This window comes from Homo sapiens, chromosome 14 (genome assembly GCF_000001405.40).
Source record: "Homo sapiens chromosome 14, GRCh38.p14 Primary Assembly".
NCBI lineage: Eukaryota > Metazoa > Chordata > Mammalia > Primates > Hominidae > Homo > Homo sapiens.
Window position 1 is genome coordinate 87,361,474 of NC_000014.9, and position 16,190 is coordinate 87,377,663.

The window sequence follows — 16,190 nt, forward strand, 5'->3', positions numbered from 1 at the left end:
CTGCTAGGACATTAGGAATTAGAAGGCCTTCAACAGAGCCCTATCTTTGCTCCTTCTTCACTCATTCAGTGCATGTCATTATATGTAATTTATTTTTTTCTGAGGACCCATTCTCCCTTCTACAAAATCGTCACATTTCTATTACTAATTAAAACTCACTGAAAAATCAATGTATTTCACATTTTATTTTAGTTGACAAAAAAGCTCCTAGATGTGAATGTTATCATTGACCCCATGAAGACGCTGGGAGGATGAATGTGAGAAATGTGATGAAATACACAAGTTCTTCCTAAACTGGAAAATGCTTTCTTTTTTGTAAACTGGAAATTATCTCCTTTCTTTCTTACCTCCTTTTTAAATATTTATTTCGCCAAAATACTACCTAGAAAAAAATGTTGCTTTTGAATTTTCTAATGACCTTTATTATTAAGTGGCTGCTAAAAAGTTAGGAAATGAGAAGATGTAATAATTGTGCAGTCATAAGCCTTATAGTGACTGTTATTTGAAGAAGTCTGAAGATTACTCTCTTATTCCCTTACTAAGAGTATGTCTCAAATCAAACCTGAAGCAAAAGCAAGAATTAAGGGAAGAAAATAATTTAGGCTCAGAATAGGCAAGCTTCTATGCACACATCTCTCTCAGAACCAACGAGCCTGAGTGAATTTCCATTTAAGAATCGGAGGATGCATTTGATTTCACTTCACTCTTCCCTGCCACTCTAAATGAGAAATTGAAATGAACGCCTATGCAATTTTTACAATTTTGGAAATAGTTGCATTTGGGCAGCAAGTTTCTTGTCATTTCCCTATTAATGCCAATTTCTGAGGTAAACCATCCCATAATATTTTTAACAGGTCAATGGCTAGAGTAATAGAGAAATTTCAACATATCAGTTTTCATTGCATATTTGAAGTGGGGGAGCTGAATGTCATTCCAGCAATTTAAATTTTCTAACAAAACCTACTGATATGTAAAACTCCCATTTGGTAGGTCTCTTTCTTTGGGGAAAAATATATTTTAATGTTTAGTTCCATTTATTTATAATTATAATTTCATATCCCAAGGAATTATGTTCAATGTACTTTTAAAGTTTTTCTCCATATCTTTTATAACTATTTTTGAGGTACAGCTAATGCTGTATGGTGCAGATGCTAAGATAGCCACTTAATGACAGAGATTCATGGGGAAAAAGTAGAGAACAAATGTATAGATTTTGATTTTTCATATACTTTTCTGAGTAAAGTGAGAAAAAACTTGATAAAGGAAATGTTAACCGTTTGGGACACGTCCTTACATTAATACAAACTAGTAGTTGCTGACTTGGTTTTCCTTGCCTGAAAGAAAATAAAAATGAGTCCAACACCACGAAACCCCAGAAATCAAACTGAGCAAACTGAAAAGAGATTTCATAGTGATAAAATGCAAATTATGCTTTGGTCTCTAGTTCTCTTTAAAAAATATTTTGGAAGCATAGGAAGGAGCAAATAGCAGGAAGAAGATGAAAGGTCCTTAGAAGTACTCATCACACAGAAGAAAGTACAATTTTCACATACACTTTTGAACCTGCAAGATTAAGCCATTCTGTATAGAAGAATGTTTCAAAGTCTGGGCTCAGGAACAAAGGAAACATGAAGTCAGATTTCAATTTTTCTGCTTATAAGTAGTTTGGGCAAGTTCCTTCATCCCACCAGTGACAGGTTAGTACATTGTAGATGAGGATAATAATAGGAATAATAATAATTCAATCGTGTGAGATTTTTAAGGACCATGGTAAAAGAAAACATATGACATGCCTATCACAGAGTCTGACTCTAGTAAGTGTTTAAAAGTTGTTGACTGGTTGCATTGTACCCATTCCCCTTTCTAGTAACACAACCTCTCTTCCTTTGGGGGCACACTGCCTCATCAGTAACGCTGTGGGTCAACTAGAAATGACTTCACTCCTCTGGCTGCAAGGGTGAATGTTTGAACCAAGATTAGCCAGTCAGTCTATTTCCCAGGTTGATTGTTTGAATGATCAGTGTAGAGACTCTCTTTCTCATCTTGGTCCTGAGTGCCAAAGGCCAACAAACCTGAAGTTTCCAGAGGCTACTTTCCTACATTATGGGCAAGCATTCCAACCCACTCATGGAAGAATGAAGCAGAGAATAGAGACTGCTCTGAGAAAAACAGTAAGCCAGTTTTAATGGAATCCCATTTCATACCTTGAACTTCCTAGGTACTTGAAATGGAAAATTCTTTATTGTTTTAAGCTAACTTGAATTAGGTCTTTGTCATTAGCAATCCATACTCATTCCTTACCAGTTTTTACAGTTAGCTTAATGGTAAGAAATTCATGGCAGTAGGGATTTCAGAATAGCAAAAATGAGTAAAATCTCTAAGCTACTATTAATATATGGTAGCAAGCCTGGATGTGGTGGCTCATGCCTATAATCCCAGCACTTTGGGGGGCCGAGGCAGGTGGATCACCTGAGGTCAGGAGTTTGAAACCCAGGCTGGCCAACATGGCGAAACCCCGTCTCTACTAAAAATACAAAAAATTATCCAGGCGTGGTGGCACACGCCTGTAATCCCAGCTACTTGGGAGGCTGAGGCAGGAGAGAATTGCTTGTATCTGGGAGGCAGAGGTTGCAGTCAGCCAAGATCACACCATTGCACTCCAGCCTTGGCAACAGAGCGAGACTCTGTCTCTCTCTCTCTCTCTATATATATATATATCTATATGGTAGTAGACTAGAGGAGGCTTGGTTGGAAGGTTGCTCATATATATCTGCCATATACTTGATATCCTGAACTAACATGGTTTTCTTCATGTGCTGGAATTAGCTTAAAAAGAAAACCTTACAATAGCTCTAGACTGTGTCTTTATTATCCTAGGCTTTGGGTACTCCAGGGATAATTTTCACTAAGTTATCCCTCATTTTAATTCTTGACTTGCTCTTCAAGCACAGCAATAACACGTGTATTTTGTTTATGGTACTTTCTATGCTTTCTTTCTTTGAAAAAAATTATATATTTTTAAGGAATTTTCAATTGTTTCTAGAGGCTCTCACATCAGAAGAGTCTCCACATGTCTAACAAACTTAAGGAATTGTCTTAGTCCATTTGACTGCTATTACAAAATGCCATAAACTGGGCAGATTACAAACAACAGAAATGTATTTCTCACAGTTCTAGAGGCTGAGAAGTCTAAGATCAAGGCATCAGCAGATTTGGTGTTTGGTGAGGACCTGTTTCCTGGTTTATAGAGGGAGCCTTCTTACCATGTCCTCACATAGTAAAAGGGGCAAGGGAGCTCCGTTAGGCCTCTTTTAATAGGTTGGTGCACTAATCCCATTTATGAGAATAGAGCCCTCATGACCTAATACCTGTCAAAGGCCCTACCTCCAAATACTATAACATGGGTTAGTAGGTTTCAACACATAAGTTTGAGGGGGAAACAAACATTTGGACTATAGTATTCTATCCATGGTTCCTCAAAATACATGTTTTTCTCACATGCAAAATGCATTAATTTCATTCTATTAGCTCCCAAAACTGTTAACTCATTCCAGCATTAACTTTAAAGTTTAAGTCCAAAAATCTCATCTAAATATCATGTAAGTCAGGTATGAGTGAGACTCAAGATATGATTTATCCTGAGGCAAATGCTTTCTATCTATAAACCTGTGAAATCAAATATATTTTGTGCTTCCAGAACACAATGGTAGGGCAGATATAGAATATATATTCCCATTCCAAAAGGGAATAGAAGAAAGCAATAATAAGCCTAAAACCTAATACCGCAAAAGATATTAAATCTTGAGCATAATCTTTGTCTCAATGTCCTGCCTTCCAGACACACTGGGGTGGGTTCTGTCCTCCAAAGCTCCCCTGTGTGTTTGCTGGGCATAGCCCACACCACATTTCTCATGGGATGGACTCAGATGCCTGTGGCTCTCCTAGGCTGGAAGTGCAAGCTGATATTTTTATCATTCTGGGGTCTTGGAGAAGCCCCATTCCCACAACTCCATTAGGCATTGCCCTAATTGCGACTCTTTGCAGTGGCCCCACTATTATAGCAGCCCTTTGCCTGGGTTCTGTGTCCAAGGCTCAGGAGTTCCATCCTTCAAATTCCAGGTGAAGGTGGCCATAGCCCATTGCTCAGGCACTTTTGTGGTGATAGCAGAGATGGCACCTTGAGGTTTACAGTTTGTGCCCTCTGGTGTCGTGGTCACCCCAGCCCAAACTGCATCTGGTCCCACTGGAGTCACATCTGAGGTGGCCAATGAGTACTATACCAGAATTTGGAGAGTGCAGCTTTGAAGTCTATGCATGCTCCAGGATCTTGTAGTCTGGCTCATGCTAAGAGGGGCAGCCCCAGTGATCTCTGAAATTTATTTGGAAATATTCTTCCATTGTCTTGGAGAAAAAGTCCTGGTTTCTGTTTAGATGGCAGATCAAACTAATCTCTATCAAAAGGTCCCTCAGGGACAACCTTGTTCTCTCCCAAACAAGCTTTCTCTTTTCTTTCAATATAGATAACTGAAAATTTTCCCTTTTTTTAAGGTTCTATTCTTTTGATTAAAAATCCCAACTTTAAACTGTCTCTCTTTTCACACTTTACTATAAGTACTCAAGAGAAGCCAAGGTGCGCTTTTAACATTTTGCTTGGAAATTTTTTTCAGACAAATATCCTAATTTATTGTTCTAAATTCTACCTTCCACAAAACACTATGACACAACCACAATTCAGGCAGTTTCTTTGCTACTTTGTAATAAGGATGATGTTTCTCCCATTGTCCAATAACATATTCCTCCTTTCCATCTGAGACCTCAGCAGAGTAGCCTCCTGCCATCCACTTTTTTTTATCAATATTCTGTTCATAACCTCTTAGGTATTCTCTAAGAATATTAAGGCTTTTCTTCTGAGGCCTTACCAGAATCACCCTTAACAGCCTGTTCACGACAAAGGAGCCTTTTTTCTAGTATTTTGTCTCAAAACTCTTCCAGCCTCTACCTACGGCCCAGTTTCAGAGACACTTTTACATTTTTAGGTCTTTGTCACAGGAGAACCCCCACTCATTGGTACTAATTTTCTATCTTAGTCCATTTAGGTTGTGATAACGAAATAAGAATACAAAAGAAATAAGTGGCTGGGCGCGGTGGCTCACACCTGTAATCCCAGCACTTTGGAAGGCCGAGGAGGAGGGTGGATCACTTGAGGTCAGGAGTTCAAGACCAGCCTGGCCAACATGGTGAAACCTTGTCTCTCTAAAAATCAAAAAAAAAAAAAAAAAAAAAAAAAAAGGCCAGGCGTTGTTGCATGTGCCTGTAATCCCAACTACTCAGGAGGCTGAGGCAGGAGAATTACTTGAACCTGGGAGGTGGAGGTTGCAATGAGCCAAGATCCCAAGATGGTGCCACTGCACTCCAGCCTGGGTGACAGAGCGAGACTTCTTCAAGAAATAAAAATTAAAAAACAAATAAGCTATAAACAACATATTTTTTTTCTCTCAATTCTGGAAGCTGGAGAGTCCATCAAGGCATTGGCAGATTGTCTGGTAAGGACCCATTTCCTGGCTCATAGAATGATGCCTTCTCACTGTGTCCTCACAAGGTAGAAGGGGGCAAACCAGCTCTCTGGGGTCTCTTACAAGAATACAAATCCCACTCACCTACCAACATTATCACCTTGGGGATTAGGTTTCAACATATGAATTTTAAGAGGATATAAACATTTCCACCATAGCAGGAACCAATTTAATATTTTTTGTAGAATAAAAAAATTATCCATTCCCACTTATTTCTTTGAAAAATTTCATATGTTCCTAGTTTATGTCACAAGTTATTAAGTGTTATTTAATCATAAAAGGGGGTTTTGTTCACTTTCTTAAACTACATAATGATATTTATCATGATAGCCTTTAAAATGGATTAAAAGTTATAAGTCCATGAAAATCTGCCCTTTTAAGAACAATGTTTTATTTCCATAGCATAATGCTTAAATTTTTTAAATAAGATAACAAAGGAGTAAAATGTGACTTTAAACAGGGCTCAGCTGATTTTTATGACGTTAAAAATGAATGAAGAATAGCCTAGTTATTGGAATATAAAATAAATAACATATGTACAGCACATTGAAATTTGTGAAATTACCTACTCTCTAGCACCAAGTGTTAGATTAGTGTCTTAGTCTAATTTTCATAATCAGTATTTTCAAAATGCAAGATTAAAATAGAAATTTTTATGTTTTTCTTTTTATTTTATTTTATTTTATTTTTTTTTTGCAGTAGTGCCGGTGGAAGAATTATGGCTCTATTGTGTTTCCACTCTGCCTTTTCAATGGTCATGAATTTTATAACTATAACAAAAAAAAAAACCCTTAAAATATCAGCACCTGCAAAAGTCACCATCACTTCAAGAGCTGATGAGCTCAGCTTTAGGGACTTCATAGACTCACACTTTATCCAAAATCTTCCAAGTAAGAACAAAAGTTACTTATTCATTTTTATGCTACACCGTTTAAAGGCAGAACTTCTGAGATTAAACAGGGATTACAACTCATTCTCTATTGTCAGTCTTAACTAGGGTTGAGGGGATGTTTGAGGTGCGAAGGTTTCCTTCTCCTAGTTTAACTGAGGCATGGCACCAAGGATGGACCTGTGGATTGCACAGTGGTTGAAAGACATCATTTCTAATTATTATTTCCCAGGTAAGCTGATTTTCATCAATAGTGGCAATCAGGTGCATGAGCTGTGGAGGAAAGATTCCCTGGACAGGCGGGTGAGAGTGGGTAATGGTTTCGGGATGAAACCGTTCCACCTCACATGATCAGGCATTAGGGCATTAGATTCTCATCAGACGCACACAACCTAGATCCCTCGCATGCGCAGTTCACAATAGGGTTTGTGCTCCTATGAGAATGTAATGCCACTGCTGACCTGACAGGAGGCAGAGCTCGGTGGCAATGCTTGCCCACCCACCACTCACCTGCTGCTGTGTTACCCAGATCCTAACTGGCCATGGGCTGGTACCGGTCCACTGCCAGGGGTTGCGGACCCCGAAGTAGTTCTTAGAAAAATTAAATAAGGAAATATGTAAAATGAGTATCAAACATAATTTACGATGACTGCTGTTAATCTTTTCCTCTTCATGTGGCCCAGGGGTAAAATATGCTTAAACAACTAGTCTAATTTTTAGGTACCTGCTTTTGTGTTCTTCTTATTTGGGCAGTATTGATGAAAGTCCTGCCCATCTTCCGTATCTATGTCTTGTGTGTCTCAAAAGTAAGTAAGCAAATCTTCAGAAAGGTCTAGGCAAATTCTATCTCCCTCTCCATTTCCTTTTTTCACATTGGGAAAAGGGGTTTCAAAATGCCCTTTCTACAACTCACAGAAGACAAAAAAAAAATTGTATTTCAGATTTCCAAGATGATATTAACTCCAAACACCCTTCACCAAAACGTTCTAAGCAAAAACAAACTGTCAGAATAAGACCTTAAGATGCTTTCTGACGTCATTATATTGTAAAGTTTATATTACTAATAATATTATGTTTTAATGCTCTTAATTATTTGCATTTTTATTTATAGATCTGGGAAAAACACAATTAACAGTTTAGATTAAACTTATTCTTCCTTTCTGAGGAAATTCCTCTTCCTTCATTTTTGGAGTGAAATTACTGAAATTTGCAGTTGTTTATTGCAGTACATAGTGTTACCTATGCCAACTTTGACAGCTTCAGGGTAAAGAATTCATATAAATCATATTCAAAAACTGGTCCAAATGACTCCAACAAAATATTTTGTCCACTAGATAACTCAACGGTGGCTTTACGAGCAATTGAATAGTGATTGATTGGTTCTGAATATGAAGGACTCCTTGAGACTATTTTATGCTGGTACATAAATAATTGGATGGGCTATATTAAAGTTAAGGAAACAGTTTCCAGAACAGACAAACCCACAATCCCAGTTTGTTAACCCAATAGTTTATTTCTCCTGTGATCGGCAAATTGGAGTTGAGGAGTTGTTCAAGGATCCAGGCTGAAGGATACTGTCATTTGAAACACATGGCTTCCTAGCTTATCCTGGTGTCTGTATTTCATCAACTGACACATATTCTTCTCAGCCCAGAAGTGACACACATCACTTTCACTCATATTCCACTGGCATGGACCAGCCATATGGCCCCACCTTGACTGAGTAGAGCTTGGGAAATATAGTGTCTGTTTAGGCAACAACTCTACCCTGTAAAGGAGCATAAACTTACTGAATAATAATTACCTTTTTTTCTGCCACAAGCAAGTCATGAGTTTGGAACGTGAAGGAGAAAATAAGTTTCAGGTGAGCACGCAGCTGGGCTGGTTTCATTTACTGCTGGTCAAAGACAAGAAGTAGAAGGTGGTCAGATTCTACTGTGTGGACTCACAGTAGTCTACCAGGCAGAAGTAAATGTTTCCATTTCTGCTAAGGGTGGGTGGGATCATCTGTTCTCTCTCTGACTGTAAGGGGGTGCCGCTTCACAGGTAGTCAGTTAACCGCTGGGTTTATTCCAGACTGTCTAGTGGGCTTCATGAAACTCACACTAACAGTGTAGGGACAAAGATTGGGATACGTCTTCCTACCAGAGGTTATAGAACAATGAATAGGCCATGAACAGAAACTCCAAGATGGCTACAAACTAAAACTATTACTTCCAGAAACTATTTTCCAGGATACATAAAAGAAAGTGGTGACATTTCACATTTGTTATGGCCAACTCACAATCATATGAGACTGCTTACAATTATTACCTTCATTGTTTTCTTTTCTAGAAAGTACTAGAGCTGGTCACTAAGGCTGACTACGCTTTCTTTATTTTCCTAGAAGACACCATATTATTTTATTCTGTTTTAAATTATTAACCATTCTCTCTTATAGAGTAAAATAAAATATAACTTGCTGGTGAGAAAAATATTTGAAATCAGCTAAGTTCATGCAGCATTCATTTATTAATCCATCACATGTTTAATAAGCACTACTATATGCCAGATACTGCAATACTATTGTGAAAATAAATATGATGATAAAAATAAAACAATATTTACAGAATCAGTAATGTCCAGTGTTTATGAGGGACCAACTCTGTGCTAGACAGTGTGCTAATTGTGTTATAAGCATCACACATTTGATCCTACAAAATCGTGCATCTGCATAACTAAGAAATCCAGGTTTTAATGAAGCTGAGACACAGATAATCAGAAGAGCAGAACTTACAGTCACATCTGCATTACTCTGAGCCTCATGGTCTTGACCAATAACCAATGAACCCCAGTGACCAAAGAAAGCTTTCATCCAACACTAGTATACTACAAGGAAAGGTGGATAAATAAAGAGATAATCAAAATAAAAGTTAAAAGTGCTCAACTATTAGTTCCATATGTTTAACCACAAATGATTACATTTAGAATTTGATTCAAAACATAATTAGGATAATTGCCTTGTGTTGTTTGTGCATATGCCCAAATGTGCCCACATTTCCTTTAAAACATCTTGTTCACTGATTGGCAATATAGTAAGCACTTCAAATAAGTGAATGAAAAAAAACTGTTGAGAAAACAAAAGTGAAATAATTCTCATTGAGGAAAATCAGAAAATGTTTCACAGAGGGAATATTTGGAGGGTTTGAGAGACAAACTATGTTTGTATGGTTGCAGGGGGTAAGTAACATTTCAAGCAGAAGATCACCAGTTCACCTAAAGCATAACATAATGACAATGCATTGTAGGCTTAGGTGATTGACAAGTAGTCCCATGTGGCTGGCTGTTAACAGGAGTATTGGGATATGATGCAAGACCCATGTTAAATGCTGATGAGAATGCAGTGGTAGAAGGGAAGAAATTAATGGCATAGAAGAAAGGCAGGAGAATTGTTGTTCCTGAGGAGGCTGGAAGAGATGAGGTTTAGAACACACATATAAATTGGTCTCAGATAAGATCACTACCAGTTCACTCTAATTGCAACAGGAAAGACAAACTGTGTGAGTGGAGTCTTGAAGGCAGATAAATGTCGTGATGTAGGCTTGCATACATTGTTTTTGTTGCTTCAAATTTTCTTAGTTAAGTGGAAGGATGGCTAGAGGAAGTCAGAAGTTGTTACTGATTACTCCTTTTACTATTTTTCCAGTCCTTTCACGTGCTTTCAGTTTATTCATTTCTAAGTTTCATTGTCCATTCACTGGGAGCTAGTTTTGAAGGCTGATTTCAGCCGCTGACTCGTCATCAGGTCTGTTTGGGAAGGTTTGCTTGGCCATTCTGGAGAGGCTAGGCTATGCAGTGGAATCAAAATCTCAGAGGCTTAAACCAACACTGTTTATTTCTCATTCTTGTCACACATCCATCATGTGTTATCCAGGGACCTCTGCTCCTTGTGGTCCGTGAGGTGCCCAGACTTTTCACATGCTTCCATATTTGAAGACTAGTGAAAAAGAACATGTCTTATCATCAAGCAGCGACTCTGAAAACTTCTGCCTAAAAGTGACACATATCACTTCTGTTTATATTTTGTTAGCCATAGTTAAGTCAGTCATTGCCCTGCCTGATTTCAACAGGTTGGGCAAGTATAATTTTCTCACCAGATGGGAAAGCCAAATCTTTGACAAATAGTAACACAGTTTTCACAATTGGTATTGTGATGGTTCATTTTAGGTGTCAACTTGACTGGGTTGAGGGATATCTAGATAGCCAGTAAAACATTATTTCTGGGCATGTCTGTCAGGATGTTTCCAGGAGAGATGGCATTTGAATCAGTGTACTAAGTAAGGAAGAACGACTCTTAGGGAAGGTGGGCAGGTGCCATCCAATTGGTTGAGAGCCTGGATGAAACAAAAAAGTAGGAAGAAAGACAAATTCATCTCTCTTCTGGAGCTGGGATACATATCTTTCCCTGACCTTGGACATCAGAACTCTAGGTTCTTTAGCTTTCAGGCTCCAGAACTTACACCACTGGCACTCTCATTTCTCAGGCCTTCTGTCTCAGACTGAGATTTACCTGATTGGCTTCCAAGTTCTCAGGCCTTTAGACTTGAACTGAGCTATGCCATCAGCTTCCCTGGTTCTTGAGCTTGTAGATGGCATATCATGGGACTTCTCAGCCTCCATAATCACAGCAGCCAAGTCCCATTATAAATCCTTTATCTATCTATCTATCCATCTCCATCCATCTGTCTTATTGTTCTTTCTCTCGAGAACCCTGAGTAACACAGGTGTCCCCTGGCAATTAAAGTGAGGTAGGAACCATATGTCTCCTTCTCCAGAACCTTGCTACCAGGTGGCTTAATACAACAAAAGCAAGTTTTCAACCAAATCCTGCCATTTATTAGCAAGCAGGCCACAAACTATCACAGGACTTTTCCTTATAAATTTGAGAAATTTCCATTATCTGGCTTCAGATACTCTGACAAGCAAGTGCCTGGAATAAAAATCTCACTCTAGTACAGGTGCTACAGTGTGTCCACTTGAGAAACAGTCAACTCTATTGCTAGAGCAGGCTATTAAGGGAGACCACTGGAACCATGAAGATCTATACCACACGTACTGCTCTGAAGGTATTTGGCAGCTGTTCTACCTGAATCCTTAAACTTCATTTTCATGCAAGGATGGTGAAACACATATCATCCTAGTCAAAGACATGTCTTTCCCCTTCCTTATGTTTCTCCAGTAAAAATTATTTTTTAAGAGCCCAATGGCTAAAAATAAACTTTCTTCTATAGATTTCTATAATGATATTTGTGGTCACACTTAGAATGAGATTCATGATTAGGGTACTTAAAATGCTAACTTCACTTTGGGAGGCCGAGGCAAGGTCAGGAGATTGAGACCATCCTGGCTAACACGGTGAAACCCTGTCTCTACTAAAAATACAAAAAATTATCCAGGCATGGTGGCAGGCGCCTGTAGTCCCAGCAACTCGGGAGGCTGAGGCAGGAGAATGGCGTGAACCCGGGAGGCAGAGCTTGCAGTGAGCGGAGATTGCACCATTGCACTCCAGCCTGGGCAACAGAGCGAGACTCTGTATCAAAAAAAAAAAAAAAAAAATGCTAACTTACCACCTCCAAGAAGTGCAGTTCACTGAAACACCCCTACATTATCTGACTATATTGAAATATAAAGTACTATATTTAATAGAAAATATAATATGTCACCTTTAAATATTTATATATACATAAGAAAACATCTTCTTTTAGAGCCAACGTAACAATATCCTAACATAATTAGTAATTCCTTAATATACTTAAATACCCAATCCATATTTAATTTTTCCAACTGTCCTAAGAATGTCTTTTGTCTCTATTCTGTGCAAATCAAGATACAAAGCAAATCTCTAGATTGCATCTCTTGTTTATTCCAAGTGGCGATGACACTCTGCCTTGAAAAGAATGCATGTTGATTGTTGTATAGAACATTTACAGTGTTCCACCTTCCAAATTTCCCTGTGGTGTTATTTGGCTTGCATATTTTATCTATTGCTGTGTAACCCAAAACTTGCCATCTTAAAACAACAAACATTTATCATCTCACAATGTCTTTGCTACTGGAATCTAGACACAGCTTAGCTGGGGAAGGTCCTCTTCCAAGTTCATTCACATGATTGTTGGAAGGATTTAGTTCCTTATGGGTTGTTAGGCTGAGGGGCTGAGGTCATTGGTGACTGTGGGTAGGAGATCTCTTTTAGTTGCTTGCCACATAGCTTTTTCATAGGTCAGCTCCCGATATGGCAGGTGGCTTTCATCAGAGTGTGAAAGAGACGGAACATGCAACAGATGACAAGCAAGATGGAAGCTAGAGTCTTTTTGTAATGCAGTTTTAGAAATGAGCTGGGCACGGTGGCTCATGCCTGTAATCCCAGCACTTTGGGAGTCCGAGGTGGGTGGATCATCTGAGGTCAGGAGTTTGAGACCAGCCTGGCCAACATGGAGAAACTCCATCTCTACTAAAAATACAAAAATTAGCTGGGAATGATGGCACACACTTGTAACCCCAGCTCCTCAGGAGGCTGAGATAGGAGAATCACTTGAACCGGCAGGCAGAGGTTGCAGTGAGCCGAGATCGCGCCACTGCACTCCAGCCTGGGTGACAGAGCAAGACTCTGTCTCAAAAAAAAAAAAAAAAAAAAAAAAAAAAAGGAGTGACAGCCCATCACCTTGTTGAATTCTATTAATTGGGAGCAAGTCACTAATTCAGGCTCACACTTAATGGAAGGCAATAAAAAAACAAGAGTATGAATACAGGGAACTTCCTTCTACATCCCCTATAATTTCTTCAAAATGAAAGTTAAATATAGAAATGTGCTTAAATTGATGGTAAATATCTTTAGTAGAAGGACATGAGAGGCAACATTTTGTACATTGCATTGTATAACACCAAAAATACATAATCATCCGATTATTACCAAACCTAAAATTGATCCCTGAATAAAGGTAATGGCCACTCGATTCCTCCATGGTAAAATTATTCTTCTCCCCATTCAACCAGAATGTGATTGGTGGGTATTATTTTGGTATCACATAACTGTCCAACCACAAAATTGTTTTAACATTATATGTCAGTGATTGCAAAGTATATTTTTGTTTTCCAATTCTATTATTCATTCTACAGTACTATCTGGACTTCTGTAAAGTAGACACTTCTCTCTTGACAGAATTATCTTGAAAAACAGCATCTATTGGAGAGGCAGGAAGGCTGTTCAATTCATTTCCATTAATTACCTCTAAACTTAGTTTTCAGTACTCATAGGTTATTGAAGTGTAACTCCACACCTCCAATCAACTCTGTCCCATTTAAAATTCTCACTGGGTCTCTTTGTAATAACTCTCTGGGAAAAATAATTATGTTTTATCACATCCCTTATTTACCTCATGTTGTTATTGAAATTTCCCTGAATATCTGTATTCCTGGTAACTTTTCTTACTAAATCCCATAAACCCCAATGCAAGAATGTACTCAGCACATTTAATGCTACCCTTCTGCCAGGGTATTTCCAAACTCTGTCTTAAACATTTCAATTACATCCTTTATTGGATACTGGATTGATTCCCACAAGCTTATAATAATCTCATCCTAGTGTTCATTTCCAACTTGCTCTATCACCCCTGGTGCCATCCCTGTACATCTGGACTGGCCAGCTCATGCTCTTCTCTATGGCCTCAGTAATAATTCAGACAACTAATACTCATTAAAGTATGAACACCAGGGCTATAGCATCTCTGCCAAGAAATCATCTGCATAAAACCTCAGGATGATCTCTTATAAAATGGTCCTAAAATGGACAATTTGTGTGTTTGTAATTATGAGCCCTTATCATTTTGTTTTGTGATGTTTTGCTGAAATTCTAAGTAATATGATGTGCTCTCTTTACACCAACATAACACTTGAAACAGACTGTGGTATGACAGGCAGGATCGGTGCATAAGGAAATTATTATGGATTTTCCACAAGATGGTGGCTGTTTATAAATAGGTGTCATGGAAAACAAGAATGGAACTTGATAAGAGACTTGAATTTTCAGGGAGCCTGAGCACCTCAAGTGCCAATTCTGCTGGGCCACATATTATGGGTATTGTTAAATGTCACTTATAAAATATGGGTTAGATATTAGAGTAAGTCTGATAGTTAGGAAACACAGAGACCTGTAAATGAAATAAAAGTGCTAATGCTTTGTACTTCCACTAAAATTATATAACACTGTGAATCTTAGCTGTGGCATCCTATCTACGTAGATATTTTAGTGCAGAATCTGGCCTCTATGTCTCGCAAGTCCTCAAGTTTGTTTATTTCCTGAATTACTCCAGCAAAGTTTTTGTTGGATGAATAAATGGGTACACTTACGGTTTCATACTCATGCATTCCAGAATGACTTTCATATCCAGTTGAGTGCTACTAAAATGGTCGTGTTTTGCACTTGTCTTAATATTTTCTCATTACAAGTGGTGTTATCAAAGTGGGGAGTGTGGGATGGGGAACAATTATCTTTCAGTGATCCTACTAGTTAATTAGTTAGCCAAACTAACATCACAGGCTTCATCTTCAACATGATCAATAGAGGAAGTTGCCATTTATTTGTGTTACATGTGCACAGATTAAATTCCAGTGATCCAGATACTATTAATTAGGTGTGTCTAGCTAAAACATTTCTTCATCTGATTCTGATATTTAAAACTAACAAACATAAATGTTACTTTTTTCATATCCCAGTTCAATTTTATCCTTTAAGGAGTCCTTTCTGGACCAGTCTTTCTCAAATTTGCATCCCTCACCTGTCACTTTCTAGCACTGAACACCAGCTGATGTACCATGGAATTCACATGGTTGTATGTGTATTATCTCTCTCCTACTTACTAGAGTAGAATCTCCATGAGGGCAAGGATTTTTGTCTTCTTTTGTTCCCTGCTTTGTTCTCATGCCTCCAAAACTGCTGGGCACAGAGTTAACCAAGCAATAGTATTTTTGAGATACATAAACTAATAATCAGATAGATACACATGAGTATATAATTTTATATTATTATCAAGATGGGGTAGAATTTTAACACATATGCCTCTGAAATCCCTTACTGTCAACACACGATATTTTTAATTTTATTTTACATTTGTGAAATAAGGCAGTTTCAAAACTGTCCTCAGAGTTGCCAAGTTTCCTTTAGCATTTCTTTTAAATCATTAGGTAATTTGTACTTTTGAGTTGTTAAACAATACTGGCCATTTCTTTAATAACACAAAAGCTCCCTCTTGAGTGTTCAATGTCTTTTAAAAAATTTACTTTAATTCCTAAATTGACAAATAATAATTGTACATATTCATGGGGTATGTATTAATGTCTTGACACATATAATGTATAGTGATTAAATCAGAGTAATTAGTATATTCATCATCTCAAACATTTATAATTTCTTTGTATTGAGAACATTCAATATCCCCCTTCTTGCTATTTTATGTCTCGGTGCAGGGCTAGCATTCAGAACAGAACAAACCCGACAATAACAAGATGTATAAAATATGGTTGCCAAATTAATATTAGAAGCAAAATGATAATTTCTCCCCAGACTGAAAAACACTAAACTGTTACACTGATTCATGAGATGAGACCTGTTCTTATAAGGAACTAATTGATAGGGTGTCTCTGACAGCTCCTCATGCACATGGTCTTTGCCCTTTCTGTAACACAGGATTTTG

At 38.0% G+C, this 16,190-nt stretch overlaps 1 long non-coding RNA gene across 1 annotated transcript in view; it reads right to left on the reverse strand.

Moving 5' to 3' along the window:
• LINC02296 (long intergenic non-protein coding RNA 2296) overlaps window positions 1-16,190 on the reverse strand; it is a 268,818-nt gene that overhangs the window by 16,828 nt on the left and 235,800 nt on the right. The window contains exons 10-11 of the long non-coding RNA XR_007064294.1: window positions 8,267-8,359; window positions 6,973-7,053 (exon numbers count right to left, since the gene is read on the reverse strand). This is a non-coding gene — a long non-coding RNA (long intergenic non-protein coding RNA 2296). The remainder of the gene's footprint in view (window positions 1-6,972; window positions 7,054-8,266; window positions 8,360-16,190) is intronic.